Genomic DNA, 17288 nt, shown 5'->3' with positions numbered 1-17288 from the left:
AACTTTTATTCAATTATTTGGAAATTTAGGTGGGTAAAAACATGAAGCTAATAGTTAAGAACATCTGTTAAAAGAATAACTTCAAGGACATTTCTTCAATTTACCCATCTCTTATTACCATGTGGATTAATTATGGAAATATTTTGCTTATATAGTCATAGAAAGTTATTCTACTTTAAAAAATTTACTGCCAACAGCATGTCAATTCAGTGATCTTTATGGGATAGGCTGTCATGAAACATCAAAACTTTCAACTACTATTAAAAATTATATGAAGAAAATACAATTCTCAGCATATTTTACATTTTAAAACTTTACAGTTATATACTTAAGGGCATGTTTACGACAGCTCATGAGAGAGATGGCTTTTTTTAATACTTAAGGTTAACTGTAAATTTCTCCAAAATCTTTAGGAGCACTGAATCTCTGTGTTGTCAAAATGAGCAACCAAATAAAATTGATCCCAGCCAACTTTACCATATATATAATTAAAATATGATAATTTTGTGATGAATACATACTGCTCTTCCCACATTTAAGATCAAAGTTTACAAAGACAGAACAGATTTCAACCAGGGCATCAGAACTACATGGAAGATTAAAAACTATCCTGTAGCAAAATCTACAGATGCTCAAATTCATATTAGTGAATGTGTTTTCTCTGAAATGCACATCTTAGAATATGAAATCAAATCAAAGTATACCTTTATATTTAAATAAAAACTGGTTTATCTTTTAGCAAAGATGTTGACATATGATCATTTAGTCTCTACTGATAGTTCAATAATTATGTAAGAGGAGACACTAAGACCAGATACAGGGGACAAAACTAACACACTAAAACCCAAGTAGAATTTTGTCCAACATAAGATTTTTCCGATATAACGATCTGTGAAAAATAGATCATGTATTTCAGACCAAATGAACCTTACCTTATATTCTGCTTGTTTAAACAAGTAATAAGGAAAGTAAATCTCTTTTGGCCATTAATATCAATTTAGTGAAAATCCAAGGTCATTATAATACCAAATCCTTTTCTACAAAATAAAACAATTATTTCTTAACAAAGGCAAAAATGCCTAAAAATGCACAGTATTAAAACCAAAATCTAGCTGTCCCCTTTGCTTCAGCAGGTTTACAGTTTGAGAAAATATTCTTTACTGGTCTATTAGAAGGAAAAGTAAAACCTTTGTGCTTTTTAAAAGGCAAAACCTCAAGCAAAGCAGCTAAATCCTTCTTTTTCCCTCTGTGTCCTCCGCCCTGGGTCCTCCCAAAAGATGACCATGTCACATGATAATGATTAATTTACCAAGTACAAGTAGCTAAGTAGTAAATCCCTCTTACTACTCTTTGAGATTTATTTTCTACATTTACAAATATTCACCATTCTTGTTTTTAAATACTTCAGATTAAGAGAAGAGTTATAGAGCAACAATCCATTAATACGAACTTGGATCGTGAAGTCTGTGAAGTCTGAGCAGAGTGTTTCCTGTGGCCTCTGTCAGCGGTTTCCTGCCTGCCATAAGTACAAGGAACTGTTCATGGGATTGTACTCGTGGCTTTGTTTCTGTTGGAAATGTGTTTTATTTTCTTTATAAAATAATGGGTAATCTTTAAAATTGATTTTAGATGGTTTGAGGCATTACACCACAACAGTAATGAGCACTAATGCCAATGATATTGGACACAAATTCATTTTAGCTTTATTTCATGTCTGAAGCAATTCTACTGAGCCTTGAACTGCTCACGTGTTGTTATTAACTTGCTAGTAACTTAACACATGGGTACAGCAAACAAAAGTGATCAGAGTCCAGGTTGATCGGGACCTCAAGGCTACTGTCCTTTTTCTTGAGCTATAATTCAATTTCCAATTTTACTGTACATTAGACTCATTATTTCCCAGCGTTTTCTTTTTCTGCTCAATACTGCCATCTGGAGGACACACAGATGAAAAGAGAAGGAGCCAGGCTCACCCAGCTCACAATTCCAAAGAGCCAGAAAGATGTGGCTGGGGAGGGGACATCTGAACACTCCCCCAGGCCTAGAGTTCAAACCAGTGAGTCGGCTAGGTACAGTTTTGGTTTTTGGAATCTCCTCTGTTTCTCTGGCTAAATTCATGCCACCATACTCCATGAGTTTTAAATAAGCAAAAATAATTTTTAAATGTATTTATATGCTTATTTTAGTCAGATAGTTCATTCTGAAATTTAAAATGAAAATTTTTGAGAGTGTTTTCCCATCTGGTTAGGTGAGCATAATTAATTTATTTTGAGTACTATTTGGCTTACTATCAGAGAGGGCTGTGACTGCCACCATCATAATATTAAATACTATTTTTTCCTTAGTCATGTTTGTGCCATATTTTCCACAAACAAATCTAATAGCCCAAAATCAATTTCAAACCTAATATAAAGAGTACTTTGTAAAACAGTCAATAAAATGTCATTTGTAGAAACCTCCATTTAAAAAGTATATGATTTTCAAACCTTTATAAAAGGAATAAAAAATAGCCTCTAGGATTTTAAAAGAATTTCTAGAAAGATATTTATAGTGCAAATCAGAAGTTATTCCTTTCCCCATAACAGTTTTAGACTAAACAAAGCAAAATCTGTTTTTTTTCCCTAAACTGGACACAGTTGAAAAGCACAGTTTTCCTCAACATGATTTTATTAGATGTATTATATGCTGGTTTAGCTGAGAATATATAGCTATGCAAAATCATTTCATCCTAACTAAGGATGTCCTGGGTCTGCTGAACCCAATACAATGATATATATACATAACTGCATAGTACATGGAAGGTTAGCAGTTTGATGTAGAAAAAAAAAATTAACTCAGCCTGTTTAGCTCTTACTATAAGAAAAAATAAAACCTACAAATCTTCATTGAAGACATTCATGATCTATGCTGTGGTGCCCTCTATTGAACACAAAGACATAAAAATCGTGTGTGTGTAAAACTAGCTGTCATGGTTCAACACTAGCCTTTTGTAAAAAATCTTTAATATTCCTTAATATTTGAAGAAATACAAAACCATGATACTAAAGTCTAAACTGTAGGGTAAATGTAGTTGTATTAATGGGATGAATTCAGTAAAGAAGGGAAGCGGCTCCCAGTCATGAACAAATCTATTCAAACCTAAATTGAAAATCCCATTCAAACCTAAAAATTAGTAGGAATTCCATTTTTCATAGTTAGAGACTTACTGAGTTTATATTTTTTAGCCTATAACTTTCTTTTCATAACTATTAGAAGGGACTTTAAGTTTATAATTACTCAGGGGCAAGAATACAAAAGGGAGATTATAGTTAAGACTGAAGAAAAATGAATATATTTGAAAAATCTCACAATCATACCAAATTTAGCCAGCATTTAAGAGTACTGCTAATTTTAAATTTGCCAGGTTCTGGGATTCATATAGTATGTCCATCTTTCCTATAATTTCTTTATCTATAAAACTGAGATAATACCCAACTCCTAAGATTTTTAGTACTGAGACTAAAACATGTAAAATGCCAAACACGTAGAAAGTGTTCGATAAATGGTAGAAATTATTCTTATTTGGCACCTAGTCAAAGAAACAATTTTCCAATTCCTCTACAAAGATCAGTACTTTCTTATTACATATGTATCATTTCACAAATGACCTTAAAGAAAAATAGGTATATATACACATATACAAAGACATTGTGGTTTCAAAAGGTTTGAACATATTTAGTGCTTCTGGTTCATAACTTCAAAACTCACATGAAAACCAGGCTTTAAAAATGCATGCGAAAAACCTACAATACAAGCATGTTTCCATGTTTTAATGCTGTGGTTCCTAAAATTCCTCTACAAACAAGGTACAGGCTATTGATGGCTGGCCCTACTTAACAGGTAACCAGTGGGGGCTCAGAGGATGTCAAACTGGGGCCAAGACACAGTGCCAAGGTACACATCACATCCAGTTCCCTAGAGTGGACCCTGGTTGGGTGAGGGGAGGGGGCACCAGGGGCAAAGACATGGAGGGTACTACCTTACACAACCCGGGCAAGCACAGATCTGAGGGACACAGAAGGGAGGCTGGGGAGGGTCAGCAGGGGCCGCAGAGCTCAGTTCAGGCCTGAAGCCAGCCCTGTGGTATTTGACTCCTCACTTCCTTCAGGTTTAGGCTGTGTGGAAGCACCAGCTTTCATTTTTAAAGTGAAATATTAACTTGTAGACAAATGTTCACATACCACAGGGGAACAAATGATATCACAAGAGAACCCCCTGCCAATTCCATGATTTGACAATCCAATCGGATGACAATCCAGATTCAGTGTTAATGAATCTAGCCGTAGCCCTGGATGTGTACACAGTGCTCCCCCTAGAAGGAAGTGTCAGGACAAGGACTTGTTCATTCTGTGCAGTCCTATGTCCGTGGCACGCAGCCTGGCCCAAAGCATTCACTTAATAAACATCTATTGAATGAAGGATCGCTGCATGGTTTTTAGAGTTTTTTTCAAGTCCTTTTCATCTGTAGGACACAACCACCCAGTGAGGTTGGCTATGTGTGGGTACTATTATCCCACTCTATAGCAAACAAAGGCTTAAAAGGAATGAAGTGACTGTTCCAAGGCTCACATGCAGCTAGAAAAAAAACCAGGAACCATGATTATGGGAGACCTAGAACCCGGCTCCTTGAGTTCCTGAACCAGGACACTTTCTACTATGACATCTGCATCAAACACAACCAGCAAACAGTCAAACCATGCACTATGCAAAAATAACCTGGCACAAGCATAACCCCACTATGGCTGAATGACACTCACAGGGTCATTCATTTGGGTAGATCAACTGTGGATAGAAAGGTTGTGTTCAAAACAACGAAGTAATTCCTGGTCAAAAACACATACCCTGCACTTAACCAGCAATATAATTCAGAGGTACGTGCTGCCTTCTGACCTGAAATAAGACTTCCCTACAGAAGACAAGATGCCACAGCTCCCCGAGGACAACATGTCCTACACTAGAGTGACAGGCAATTCTGTAGAATTGTGTGGCAGGGACCACATCTCAAGGGAGAGGCCATCAGCCACCTGGGCCTCATAGAGACAACAATTAAAATCAGAGGCCTCCTCTAGGGGAAAGGGCAGGAAAAACTTGGCCAGGTCTCTGTCCTGCCATGCCTGTGATACCCCCCAAAAATACAATGAAATGTTTTCGGAGGACTTGGCTCTGCTAATCAGTTCTTCTGGTCTCTTGCCATGTTTATTCCTCTGGCTTCTCTTCATTGGCCCACTCTCCCTCAATTTATAATCTTGGATCTTTCTGTATGCCTCTAGGACACCTTCAAAGAAAAGGCACTAAGTCAATCTAATAGAAATAAATATTAATATTAATGTGCATACTTAATATCCAAACCCTTTATGAGAGAGCCAAATGGGGAGGAGGCAGTATATTTATTTCAGGCTAGCTCTAAGGTCCTATTTAGTGAACCCCAAAGGAGATGACTTCAGATCCTGAAACTACTAGAAAAAGAAACAGTTCAGGAGACTGGGTCCTGTCAGTAACTAGTAGTCATATGACTCAGCCTATTTCCTTATCTACAAAATTGGAAATTAGGAAAGCAAAAGCTGTCTCATGTCTAAGTGCATTAAGATAATAACAGCCAACATGAAGATAGCACACACTGCATGCCAGACACTGTCATGAGTGCTTTACAGTCACTAACTTGTCTAATCTTCTCAACAACCCTATGAGGTAGGTACTATGATTACCCCATTTTATAGATGGGAAGACACAGGCAGAGGAGGTAAATGATCTGCCCAAGCCCCCAGCTAGTAAGTGGCAGAGCGAGGATCTGAACTCAGGTAGCCTGGCCTCGGAGTCTAGGTGTAAATCAGCGTGCTATATGGCCTCTAGCATTCTGGGTATTCCAGCATTCCAGAGAGTGGATTGGGGGAGGGAAATCACTGGTAGTGTGAACTCAGGCAGCTTTAACGGCAATACCCACCATCACAGAGTAATCCAGAGTTAATAACTCACTGAGACTGTTCACACGCCACCAAATACTCCTTTATAAACATTCCCTTCAAAGATCAGCGTTAAACTATTAGAGGAACCCAGAAGGATATTAGCAGCCCGTTACTGAGCTGATTTTGGTCTGTAAATTCTAAGCATTGTAAAGAAAGACAGTTTTTAAGAAGTGCCTTTTGATGATTAGGCATATTTGTTTCCTGGCAAATTTTTACTTTTGTCAGCTAAACGCCCAGGTAATTTAGATCTGCTTGACAGCTTAAAGGACCAGATATTTAATTCAATTTGTTCATTGTTTTCTTTCTAGAAGACTTGGTCCCAAATATGTACGAGATGATGTGAGCCACAAGATGGTGCTCTAATATAGGAAATGGGCCACTGGGTTTTGCTCTAGTGCAGATTATTTGCATTTCAGAAACAGGAACACTCTTCCCCACACCACCATGCAGCTCTTGTAAAGCACTTGCTCACACCCCTTGTCTGGCCACAAAAGTTTCTGGACACTCACTTTCTGAGGAAATCTTCCAGACCCTGGCGACGCTGATCCACGTGCTGGCGATTGTTCATGTTGAAAAACAGGTTTTTAGATGGAAGTTCTGGCAGTTGTCTTAGGAGAAAGAAAAAACAATGTTTTTAAATGATTAACTCAAGGTGCTTCTGTTACAGAAATCCCTCAAAGTGAAGGCAAATTATGTATGATGATTATTATCACACAGTTATTCTATAATTATGATTATACATTATATAGTTATATAATAAGGGTATCAGGAAGTCAGCTTAAAGAAAAACCCATCTTTAAACATTTCTGAGGCCTTTCATGGCCTATACCCATCAAAGTTGGTGAAATTTAAGTGATAAATTTTAAATTCAGATGCAGTAGCTAAGAAACTAAAGCTACATATTGTAATCAAGGCAAAAGCCTATAAAAATCCTTCATATCTTATATATCTTAATGAACGTCAATTTTAAATACTGAATATAATGACAAAGTCTCCACAGTATACTCTAAATCACTTACACCAGCAACGCATTACTTTGGAGTCTCTGCCTCAGCCACACGAATTCTCTATATCTTCTTCGTACACAGGATGTTTTCATTGTAAAACACATGCTATTAGTCTGTACAGAGAAAGTAGAAAAATGAGTCTTACCTGAGGAAAAAAATGCATTTCTTGTATCTATAATTCACAATATGATCTCAACATTCACTCTAAATAGGATTTAAACCACCAAACATATATTTATATTTATGCCAGTACTCTGAAATCTTGCACATAACCCAGGAACATAACAGCCCTGAAGACAGCCAGGATGATGGAAATAAGCAGTGTTGCCCCAGGGTGAGGTATGACCTGGCCACTCCCTGCATCCTGAAGGAGCCTCCTACTCACCTATGAGCACTGCTTTCAAGAATAAATCATAAAAAATAAATCCTAACATATAAATGACAGGTAGGAGCTCAGGTTCATCCGTTGCATTTTACCACCATCCACGTAAGCTGGAGGAAACTTTGGGGCTTAGAGACACCTCCTCATGACCCTTTATGAGACATTGCAGAAATCTTCATCTCCTTGACATGGCCACCCTGCAGATCATACAAATCACCAGAAATCCTAGAGAACAGCATTCCCTTCTCTACTGTATGTGAGAGGGAGCGTGTCCGTCCGAGCCAGAGAATGACCGTGGTACGTGGGGATAAACATCTGGCATAGAGGACAGGCCGACCGGAATTCCAGTCCTGGTTCTGCTACAGGGCAAGTCACTCAAACTTCAGTTTCCTCAGTACTAAAATGGGATGAACTAGTATATATCTAATTCACAGGGTGGTTGTGAGGATTGATAATAAGCACTTGACCAATGTTATCTATTAATAATACTGTTAGTTACTAAGTGTTGGTTTCCTTCCAGCTATCCTAAGGCAGACTTGGAAAAAGCCACCGATGGTGTCCCCATGCTAAGCTCAGCCACAATGCTTCTCCTTTGGGTAAACATAAGACGAGAGTAAATATTCTCCTTTGCGTAAACATAAGACGAGAGTAAATATTCTCCTTTGAGTAAACATAAGACGAGAGTAAATATTCTCCTTTGAGTAAAACAAGCGACTACCAAAATATTTGTTTCTCCTGATTTTTGAAAATATGAGTATCTCTAGTCTCTGTATTTCAAAATCCGATTTTCTAATCTAAATGAGAAACAATTCTTTACCCCCAAGATCAGTACTATTTCAAAAATTATTATTCTATCACTTAATATGCCCAGCGATTGTTTTCCTTGGGAAATCTAAGTAATTATGTGCATTAGCTCTCAAACTGTTCTCATGAAATATATGACATGGTTCCTGGTATGCTTATGCTTTGTAAAGTTCAGAAAACTTCAGAATGTAGACAGGTTAAAAGGCTTATCCCCAAGGTAGCCACTGGTCTAAATCCCATTATCTTTAACGATATGGCAGCAAAACCCGCTGGAAGGAGTTTGTGGCAAATAACATCCTGTGGGTGGACTTATAACACACCAGGGCCTCACTCTACTGTGCTCCTTGGGGACTAGGTTTGCAGACCATGTTATACCAGAACTAGTCCCCTAACAAGGCTTGAGCAGGTTATCTTCCCGGTACCCTCTCCCTAAAGAATCCCAGACCACCACAGGGATTCCTGACATCTCACACACAGGCTGGGTCCATTTAAATTCCCTTTAATTTCTCTGCTCACAACCACCATGGTTGTCAATAACTAAAAATCCACCTGGTACCTACACCAGACTAAGGTCGATCCATAAGTCCTTCATTTGCAGGGCAGGTTCAGGGGAGTATTTATGATGGCTACCCAGCTCTAGGGTCTACTAATTTAAAATTCCAAGTAAATGTTAAGATCCCAGAGTTGTGTGACATCATCTCCCTTGAGGTTAATTTAAACAAGTTAAAGACCAGCTTCTCTACCTCCAAAGCTCTATGGGTTAACAACTAAGAGAAGCCAACCAGAACTCCCTAGCTCTGCCATCCACTTTTAATTGTATGACAGGTGGAAGTCTCTTCAAGATTAGAGGATACTGAGATCACTAACTGATTAAGTTCCTCTAATAAATCTATTTGCTTGTTTTTGCTGTCCACCAAGCCAAGGCTTATCCATTGTCAATTTATTAGCATTTCAGAAAAGTGCCAGGACACCATCAAATAGTATTTGTGGAACCCATCATTTCTGGCTCCAGATGGAGATTTCTGAATTTACATCAGGCTATTTATAGAGCAGAGCAGAATCTATACTTTCATTAATTCCTGGGAATAATTAAATTTCATGCCTATCATGAAGTGTGTGATAAGGACGCACAATTTTTTTACAGAAAGTTAGAAGGCAACTAAAACTATTTCATTTTACTTCAAATGCTTATTCTTATATAGTCATAATTTTCCACACAGAATGCAACTCTAGTGTGAGCTTATAAGTAAAACCAAAACAGAATCAAAATACATGGCATATCCTGGAATGGCTTTACAACACAATCAAAAAAGCAGTTCTGAGTTTTTCTTTTATTTTCAAAGTTGGGGAAACTTCAAAGAAAAAAGAGAAGAAAGGAGAATTTAAAAAAAGAAAAGTTCTACAGCTGGTGTTTGGGTGTCCAATATACCAAGTTAGCTATTTACAATGGGAAGATTAAATAATGGCTAAATTTTACTTCACTTGTGCTATGAAGTCACGGATACAATCTGGGTCAATTGCTATGCTCCCCAGTTGAACTAATTTAGTTTGCATCTGATATGCATCTGGTTTAGATGCAAAGAGTATTATCCTCAAAATCGGGGCCAATAAACTACAGCCTGAGGGCCAAATCTGGTCTGACACCTGTCTTTGCACATAAAGTTTTATTGGAATACAATTATGCTCATTCATTTATGCACTGTCTGTGGCTGCTTTTCACCTGCAACAGCAGAAATGAGTAGTCTCGACAGAAACTGTATGGCCCACAAACTGAAGATATTTACTACCTTTACAGAGAAGTTTGCTTACCCTTGTTTAAGATGGTCACAGAAGGCCACACACCACACAACATTTTCAAGAGATTGTGATACAGTAGCATCCACGCAAGGCACATCATTTCTAGTTGCTTACTCGTTACATTAATTACTCAGATTCTAGATAAATTAATCACAATAATTGCACATATCCATTTCCCACCTTCTGATTCTATATATAAAACACCACACATCTCTTTTCCAAAGAACTCTATATCCTCTCAAACTTGAAGGTTATCAGGCATTATATTATCCAGAAATATGCTATAGCAGATCATAAGAAATGCCATTAATGAGCTATAAGTACTCTTTACCCATGCATTTTAGATGCGTGCACATCTTCACATGTGAAGGCAATAAACATTAAAATGTTAATATTAACAAAGGAACAATAAGGGATTCAAATAAGTAATTTTTCAACTTTAGGAACCATCTTACTAGTTCATGTAAGATAAAAGCATTAGTTGTAATCATTCAAATTCAGTTATTTGAATGAGAAAAACTTTTACAAGTGTCAACTTTATCCCATAAAATGTATCCCATAAAAGTCCCTCAAAATTACTATTTCTACTGACTACATACTTACATGAATACATATCTCATAGTCAATGTAAGAATGCCAGAAGTCCTCCTTCTGAATCCTAGGATCTCGAACCCAGACACTTACAAATTCCTGTAATGGCATCATAAACAAAGAAATATTCTTCAGAACTGCAAGTAGGACTGGAAAGAACTGAACAAAACGACTGCACTAAAACAAAACTGAAATGAGCTTTAACCAATGTGGTACTTGTAATCCTTTAAAAAACAAGAAGTAAAGTTAATGAATCAGGCACCACGAGCAAATCTAGAACACACTTTTGCCACATAATGGAATTTTTAAAATAATGCAACACTGAGGTGGGAGCACTTCTGGATAGTTTTACTGGTTATCTGAAGACAAAGTATACTGTAAAACTGATTTTTAATTTTTAATCTTAAATAATTGGTTCAGGTTTTTTTCAAATTTAAAAAGTGATCATTTCTTACTTTCTTCATCTCTCTAAACTGAAACAATGGGCCCTTCTGGGTAAGGTGCTTCCTAGGACACAAATAAGAAAGGCACCAGGCCAAGCAGGGTGGCTCACACCTGTAATCCCAGCACTTTGGAAGGATCTCTTGAGCCCAGGAGTTTGAGACCAGCCTAGGCAACATGGTGAAACCCCATCTCTACAAAAAATACAAAATTAGCCAGGCGCAGTGTGGTGCATGCCTGTAGTCCCAGCTACTCAGGAGGCTGAGGAGGGTGGATCACTTGAGCCCAGGAGGTCAAGGCTACAGTGAGCCTTGATTGTGCCACTGCACTCCAGCCTGGGCAAAAGAGCGAGACCCTGTATCAAAAGAAGAAAAAGAAAGGACACCAAAGCTCATGGGAAAAGTAAGCAAAGAGGGTTGAAGTTGACTTTGTGCATGCATCCCAGCCACATGAGAATAAGCGATAATAACTTATTAATAGAAAGAGGAACACCTTCTTTTACATAATACTTTTCTATTTTTAAAATACATTTCCCCTACATTAAATCATTTCATCTTCATAATACCTTTGTGTTATACATAGAAGTTAGGGATATTAAAAATCATATACAGTAGATAATTTTGTTCTTTTATAAAGATAATAAGAATAGAAAACATGGGGCAAAATTTAAAACAATAGGCCGGGCGCAGTGGCTTACGCCTGTAATCCCAGCACTTTGGGAGGCCGAGGCGGGCAGATCACAAGGTCAAGAGATTGAGCCCATCCTGGCCAACATGGTGAAACACTGTCTCTACTAAAACTACAAAAATCAGCTGGGCGTGGTGGCGTGTGCCTGTAGTCCCAGCTACTTGTGAGGCAGGAGAATCGCTTTAACTCAGGAAGCGGTGGTTGCAGTGAGCCGAGATCGCATCACTGCACTCCAGCCTGGCGACAGAGCAAGTCTCCGTCTCAAAAAAAAAAAAAATTAAAACAATACTTTTTAACAGGTGCTCTTTACTAAATAGGTTTAGTTTAAAAATTTGAAAATGTACAGCAAAAAACTATCATGTTTCACATAAGTTTTTAAGTATAACTTATTTACTCAGTGATCATAAACTTGCTAACTGAGTTTGATTTTAAATATTAGAGCTTTTTGATAAGATTGGGAGTTCAATGCTGGAATTCAGGCATTTCTTATTGCTTGTTGGGGCACATCTGAGAGGCAGGCTATGAACGCTTGAGAGCAGAAGAAAAAGAGAGATCGGGGGCTTTCTGGACAAAGCACCTCCATTGAATCATGCAGATAATTAAATGAGACTCTTCATCATAGAGGATTTTTTTTAATCAAAAAAATACACCACACTCTGAAAATAACTTTTGCCCCTATCAAGTTTCACCTTCTAGGGCAACACTTTGTCCTTGCACTGGAGACTTCTGTCCCACTACTTGTCTTTAGTAGACAGGGATTATGAATTACTGTTCCAAAAAGTCTTCTTTTAAAATATTTTCATTGTGTATTTTTAAAATCATTTAGGGGATAGAATAAGAACAAGATAGGCAGGGCTCACACCTGTAATCCCAGCACTTTGGGAGGCTGAGGCGGGTGGATCACCAGAGGTCGGGTGTTCGAGACCAGCCTGGCCAACATAGTGAAACCCCATCTCTACTAAAAATACAAAAATTAGCTGGGCATGGTGTTGGGCGCCTGTAATCTCAGCTACTCAGGAGGCTGAGGCAGGAAAATTGCTGGAACCCAGGAGGCGGAGGTTGCAGCAAGATCACGCCACTAAATGCACTCCAGCCCGGGCCAACAACAGCAAGACTTGGTCAAAAAAAAAAAAAAAAAAACACAAGATAACACTATAGTGATGCTCTTTGGCCATTATTTCTTTTCTTTTTTCTGTTTTTTGAGATAGGGTCTCACTCTGTCACCCAGACTGGAGTGCAGTGGTACGATCTCAGCTCACTGCAGCCTCAAACTCCAGGGCTAAAATGATCCTCCTACCTTAGCCAACCCCGCCCCCAGTAGCTGGACTACAGGCGGGTGCCACCATGCCCAGCTAATTTTTTAATTTTTTTAGAGATGGGGTCTTGCTATGTTGCCCAGGCTGATTCTGAACTCCTAGGCTCAAGCAACACCCCTGCCTCAGCCTCCCAAAGTGCTGGGATTATAGGCATGAGCCACTGTGCCCCAGCCAGTATTTCTTCTTCTCTATTTCTTTATTTTTTTCATGCGCATTAAGAGACAACCATCATTTCTTAAAAGCACATTCTAAATTATAAGAGGGATTTAAAAACCATTTTTAAACCAAATATCCATAATATCCCCTAATCACAGTGTGATAAAGCAGATTCTGCCCAGGGATGGAAACAGAAGCAAAAATCCAGGTACTCTGCTCTTGGCCTATGCTTTTCACCTCCATCTCTTGTCACCGTGTATGTGTGTGTGTCTCTTAAACTTTTAAATGCACACTCAAAATTCATTGCAGCACTAAGACTCCACATATTGTTTCAATCCTGAAAATCTTTAATTTGGTTGGAGTGCTAAATATCACTATTCTCTTGTGGATGGCAAACTTCTTCCCTCTCTGCATCCTGAAACGTTTCTGTGCCTGAGAGCCAACCCAGGCTGTTGTTCTTTGCACACTATTGCAATTCTAGGGTGACCTCATCCAAACACATTCAACCCCCTCCCATGAGCTGATGGACCCCACCCAAAGCTCCATCCCAGTGCAGGCACCTCTCCCATGGATCCAGCCTCTAGCCTGATCCACCTAGAAGTCCCTTGAGCACGCCATGTCCATACCCTTCCCACAGCATCCTGCTCCCCTTCTCAGTGAAGAGCATCTCCCACCAACCCCAGCTAGAAACCCAGTTCTCCTAGACCCCTCTGTTTGACTCATTCCCCAAATCCACACAGACCAAGTCCTTCATAGTCATTCTCCTTGGAACCACTGACAACTATTCCCTCTGCTACTGCCTTGGTTCAAGGACCTCTTGCCCAACATTAATGCAAGAACTGCTAATTTATTTCGGGGCCCATATCCAGTGCATTCCCCACATGAAGACAAGAATGGCTCCAAAACACGTATCTGATGATGTTGCTTTCCTTCTGAAAATCCTTCAAAGGTTGCCCCATAACCTTCAAGTTCAAACTCCTCAGCTAGCACAATACAGCCTTTCATGATTTTCACTCTGCTTATCTTCAAAGGCTAAGCATAGGTCCCCATAAGCAACATGCCACTTCACACTTCCATGCCTTTAACTAAGCTGTTCTCTGCCTGGATTGCTAGGCCACCCTACTGCCTTTTTTTTTTTTTTTTTTTAATCTTCTCTTTTCTTCTACTATTTTTTGCCAACTCCAATTCATTTTTCAAATGCAACTCGGTCACCACTTTTTCTGGGAACCCTTCTCAGATTCACCCAGTATGACTTATTTGACCCTCCTCTGGGCCCCTAATGTCTCTGGGATTGCCTTGGGCATAGTCCCTACTCACCACATCCTACTGTGCTGTATTGTAATTACCTGTAGGCCTCCTCTAGCAGACGCTAAGCTCCTGTAGGGCAGCTTAGGCTGTCTTGTAAGACTTGAATGCCTCATACATCCAATGCCTTCCATTAGTATCATTTAATGAATAAATAAATGCCTGTAGGAATAAACAAACTGCCTTCAGGAAAGGAAAATCAAACTTCACTTGAAATTAAAACCTCATCTACTTGGGTTCTTGGGCTCCATGAATTAATGATAAGTTATTTAGCAGCTGGTCTAAGTTTATCTTAATTTAACAAACCCCTTCCTCTAAGGATGTGCCAATTAACAGCATAAGGATCCAAGAGCAATGTTTAAGATCTGGGAGAACAAACTGTTTTCTAGCACCCTAAAGAACTCCAGAAGCACCTATTTACATAGAAATAATTGAAAATCCTTCTGATAGCTTCAGTAACTTAGTCCCCTAAGACTTGTACCAGGCAACAATTTGTTGGCCTAGTGGGAGTTAAAATATGTACTTGAAAGTAATAAAAGTACATTTATTTTAAAATATTCTATAATTCACATGGGTCTCCTCCTCCCCCACTCTGCAATTAGTAGGAATTAGTGAAGTTTCCCCATACTCTCAGCTACAAATAGCACACCCAGGAAGCCAAGGTTCACCTCTAATCTCTTAATTAGACGCATCCCTCACGACACTGCCCGCCATCCTTCAAAGGAATGTTGACAGGCTGTCAGCCACAGAGGACAGTTCCACAGCCCCTTACCTAGAATCATATGGATTTCCTAGGAAAATTGCTTCAGCAGCTGCAGTTAGTCAATTTAATAACCTTATTAAACACTTTAATGACTTCTTGGGCCTAATGACTATATGTAGTATGAGAAAGCCAGGCAGAGTGGAATTAAAAATTTAGACTAACTGTCCCTGCTGTTCTCCATGTGAAAACAGACTTCTAAAGAAAGACTCCTAGACTCTTTGAAGATCTAATTCCTGTGTTATCCTATAATAATCAGCCTTTGATTTCAATGTTCCCTGTTTTTCCCCCATCCCCACACCCCAGGTTTGACCATTATCCACTTCTACCCTATCATTTTTTTCCTTAGCCCTTAAGTGAGATGAAACTAATAATAAAAATAACTGTATTGTATTATACCAGGGCACTTGACATGTGGCAGGCATTATACCGTTTCACAAATGTTTTCTTCAATCTTTACAACAACCCTCAGAGCTCAGTATATTCTCATCCTACTTTACAGATTTTTTAAATGAGGCTTCTAAAGCTTAAGCAACTGGCCCAAAGTCAAATGACCAGCCTGAGCTAAGTTTCAAACTCAGATCTGCCTTGTTCCAAAGACTGTACTCTCAAACATGTTCTATCTCGTGATTCTTTTACTAATAATAAATATTAGGCAATTTCCAATTTCACTGTAATTGTATTGTTTTGGAGGGGGAAGTTTTTTCTGCTTTTATTAGCTAAAATGCCAGTTCAGACAACATGCTCTTCTCAAACTCTGTCCTTCTGGCTTCTTAAAGCTTTGTATTTCATTTTTGTATTTCTAGCACCAAGCATGGTACTAGCACATAGTAAGTGCATATTAAATGTTTCAGAATTAACCAACTGATTGACAAGATTTTTTAAAAAGCAGAGGTCCTCTATGCTGAAAATCTAAGATGCTATTGAAAGGAATCAAAGCAGAGACACACTATGTTCATAAATTGGAAGACGCAACATAGTAAAGAGAGAAATTCTCCCCAAATTGATCTGTAGGTTTAACACAATTCCTATAAAAAATCTCAGCAAGACTTTTTTTGAAGACATAGATGGGCTTATTCTAAAATTTATATGGAAAGGGAAATGTCTTAGAATAGCCAAAAAATTTTTGAAAAAGAATAAAGTGGGAGGAAGCCTTCTTCCCAATGTTAAGGCTACAGCAGCAAGACAATGGAGTCCTAGAGAGGGATAGACACAGAAGATCAGTGAAAGAGAACAGAAAACCCAGAGGGAGACCTACACAAATACGCCCACCTGATTTTTGACAAAGGTGCAAAAACAATTCAAAGGAGAAGGAAAAGCCTCTCAACAAATGATTATGGAACAACTGGACATCCACAGGCCAAGAGATGAACCTCAACCTAAAGCGTGCACCTTATACAAAAATCAACACCAACCAAACCACAGATGTAAATGTCAAACACAAAACATCAGAGAAAACTTTTAGAAAAACTTTTAGAAAAAAAAAAAATCAAAGAAAATCTTTCGGCCTAGGACTAGGAGAAGAGTTCTTCAACTTATCTCAAAAGGGCAATCCACATAAGGAAAAAGTGATCAATTAGGCTTCACCAAACTAAAAATCTTTGCTTTGCAAAAGATGCCGTGAATAAGGTTAAAAGGGCAAATTAAAGATTGAAGAAATATTTGCAAACTACACATCCCATAAAGGACTTGCATCTAGAATATATTTTAAAAAAAAACAAAACTATCAGACGGGTGAGGTGGCTCTCTCCTGTAATCCCAGCACTTTGGGAGGCCAAGGTGGGAGGATCACTTGAGCTCAGGAGTTCAAGACCAGCCTGGGAAACATGGTGAAACATTTAAAAACTAATTAAACAAACATTTAAACAAACATTTAAAAACTAATTAAAAATTAGCTGAGTGTACTGGCTCACACTTGTAGTCCCAGCTACTCAGGAAGCTGAGGTGGGAGGATTGCTTGAGCCTGGTGGGTGGGTGGGAGGTTGCAGTGAGCTGAGATCACACCACTGCACTCCAGCCTCAACAAGAGAGACCCTGTCT

The 17288-nt window shown here is 38.6% G+C and overlaps 1 protein-coding gene across 11 annotated transcripts in view; it reads right to left on the bottom strand.

Moving 5' to 3' along the window:
• Nucleotides 1-17288, bottom strand: part of SNX10 (sorting nexin 10) — an 82522-nt gene that overhangs the window by 2727 nt on the left and 62507 nt on the right. For 5 of the 11 annotated variants that reach the window (NM_013322.3, NM_001199835.1, NM_001318199.3 and 2 more), the window contains exons 3-5: nucleotides 10596-10682; nucleotides 7022-7122; nucleotides 6512-6610 (exon numbers count right to left, since the gene is read on the bottom strand). In NM_013322.3, coding sequence (NP_037454.2) covers nucleotides 6512-6610; nucleotides 7022-7122; nucleotides 10596-10682 — 287 coding nt within the window. Of the gene's footprint in view, nucleotides 1-6511; nucleotides 6611-7021; nucleotides 7123-7154; nucleotides 7333-10595; nucleotides 10774-14529; nucleotides 14651-17288 lie in introns of those variants that run through there. The other 6 variants (NM_001362754.1, NM_001362753.1, NM_001318198.1 and 3 more) reach the window with 3 other exon arrangements.

This window comes from Homo sapiens, chromosome 7, assembly GCF_000001405.40.
Source record: "Homo sapiens chromosome 7, GRCh38.p14 Primary Assembly".
NCBI lineage: Eukaryota > Metazoa > Chordata > Mammalia > Primates > Hominidae > Homo > Homo sapiens.
This window is presented reverse-complemented; position numbering and strand designations above follow the sequence as displayed.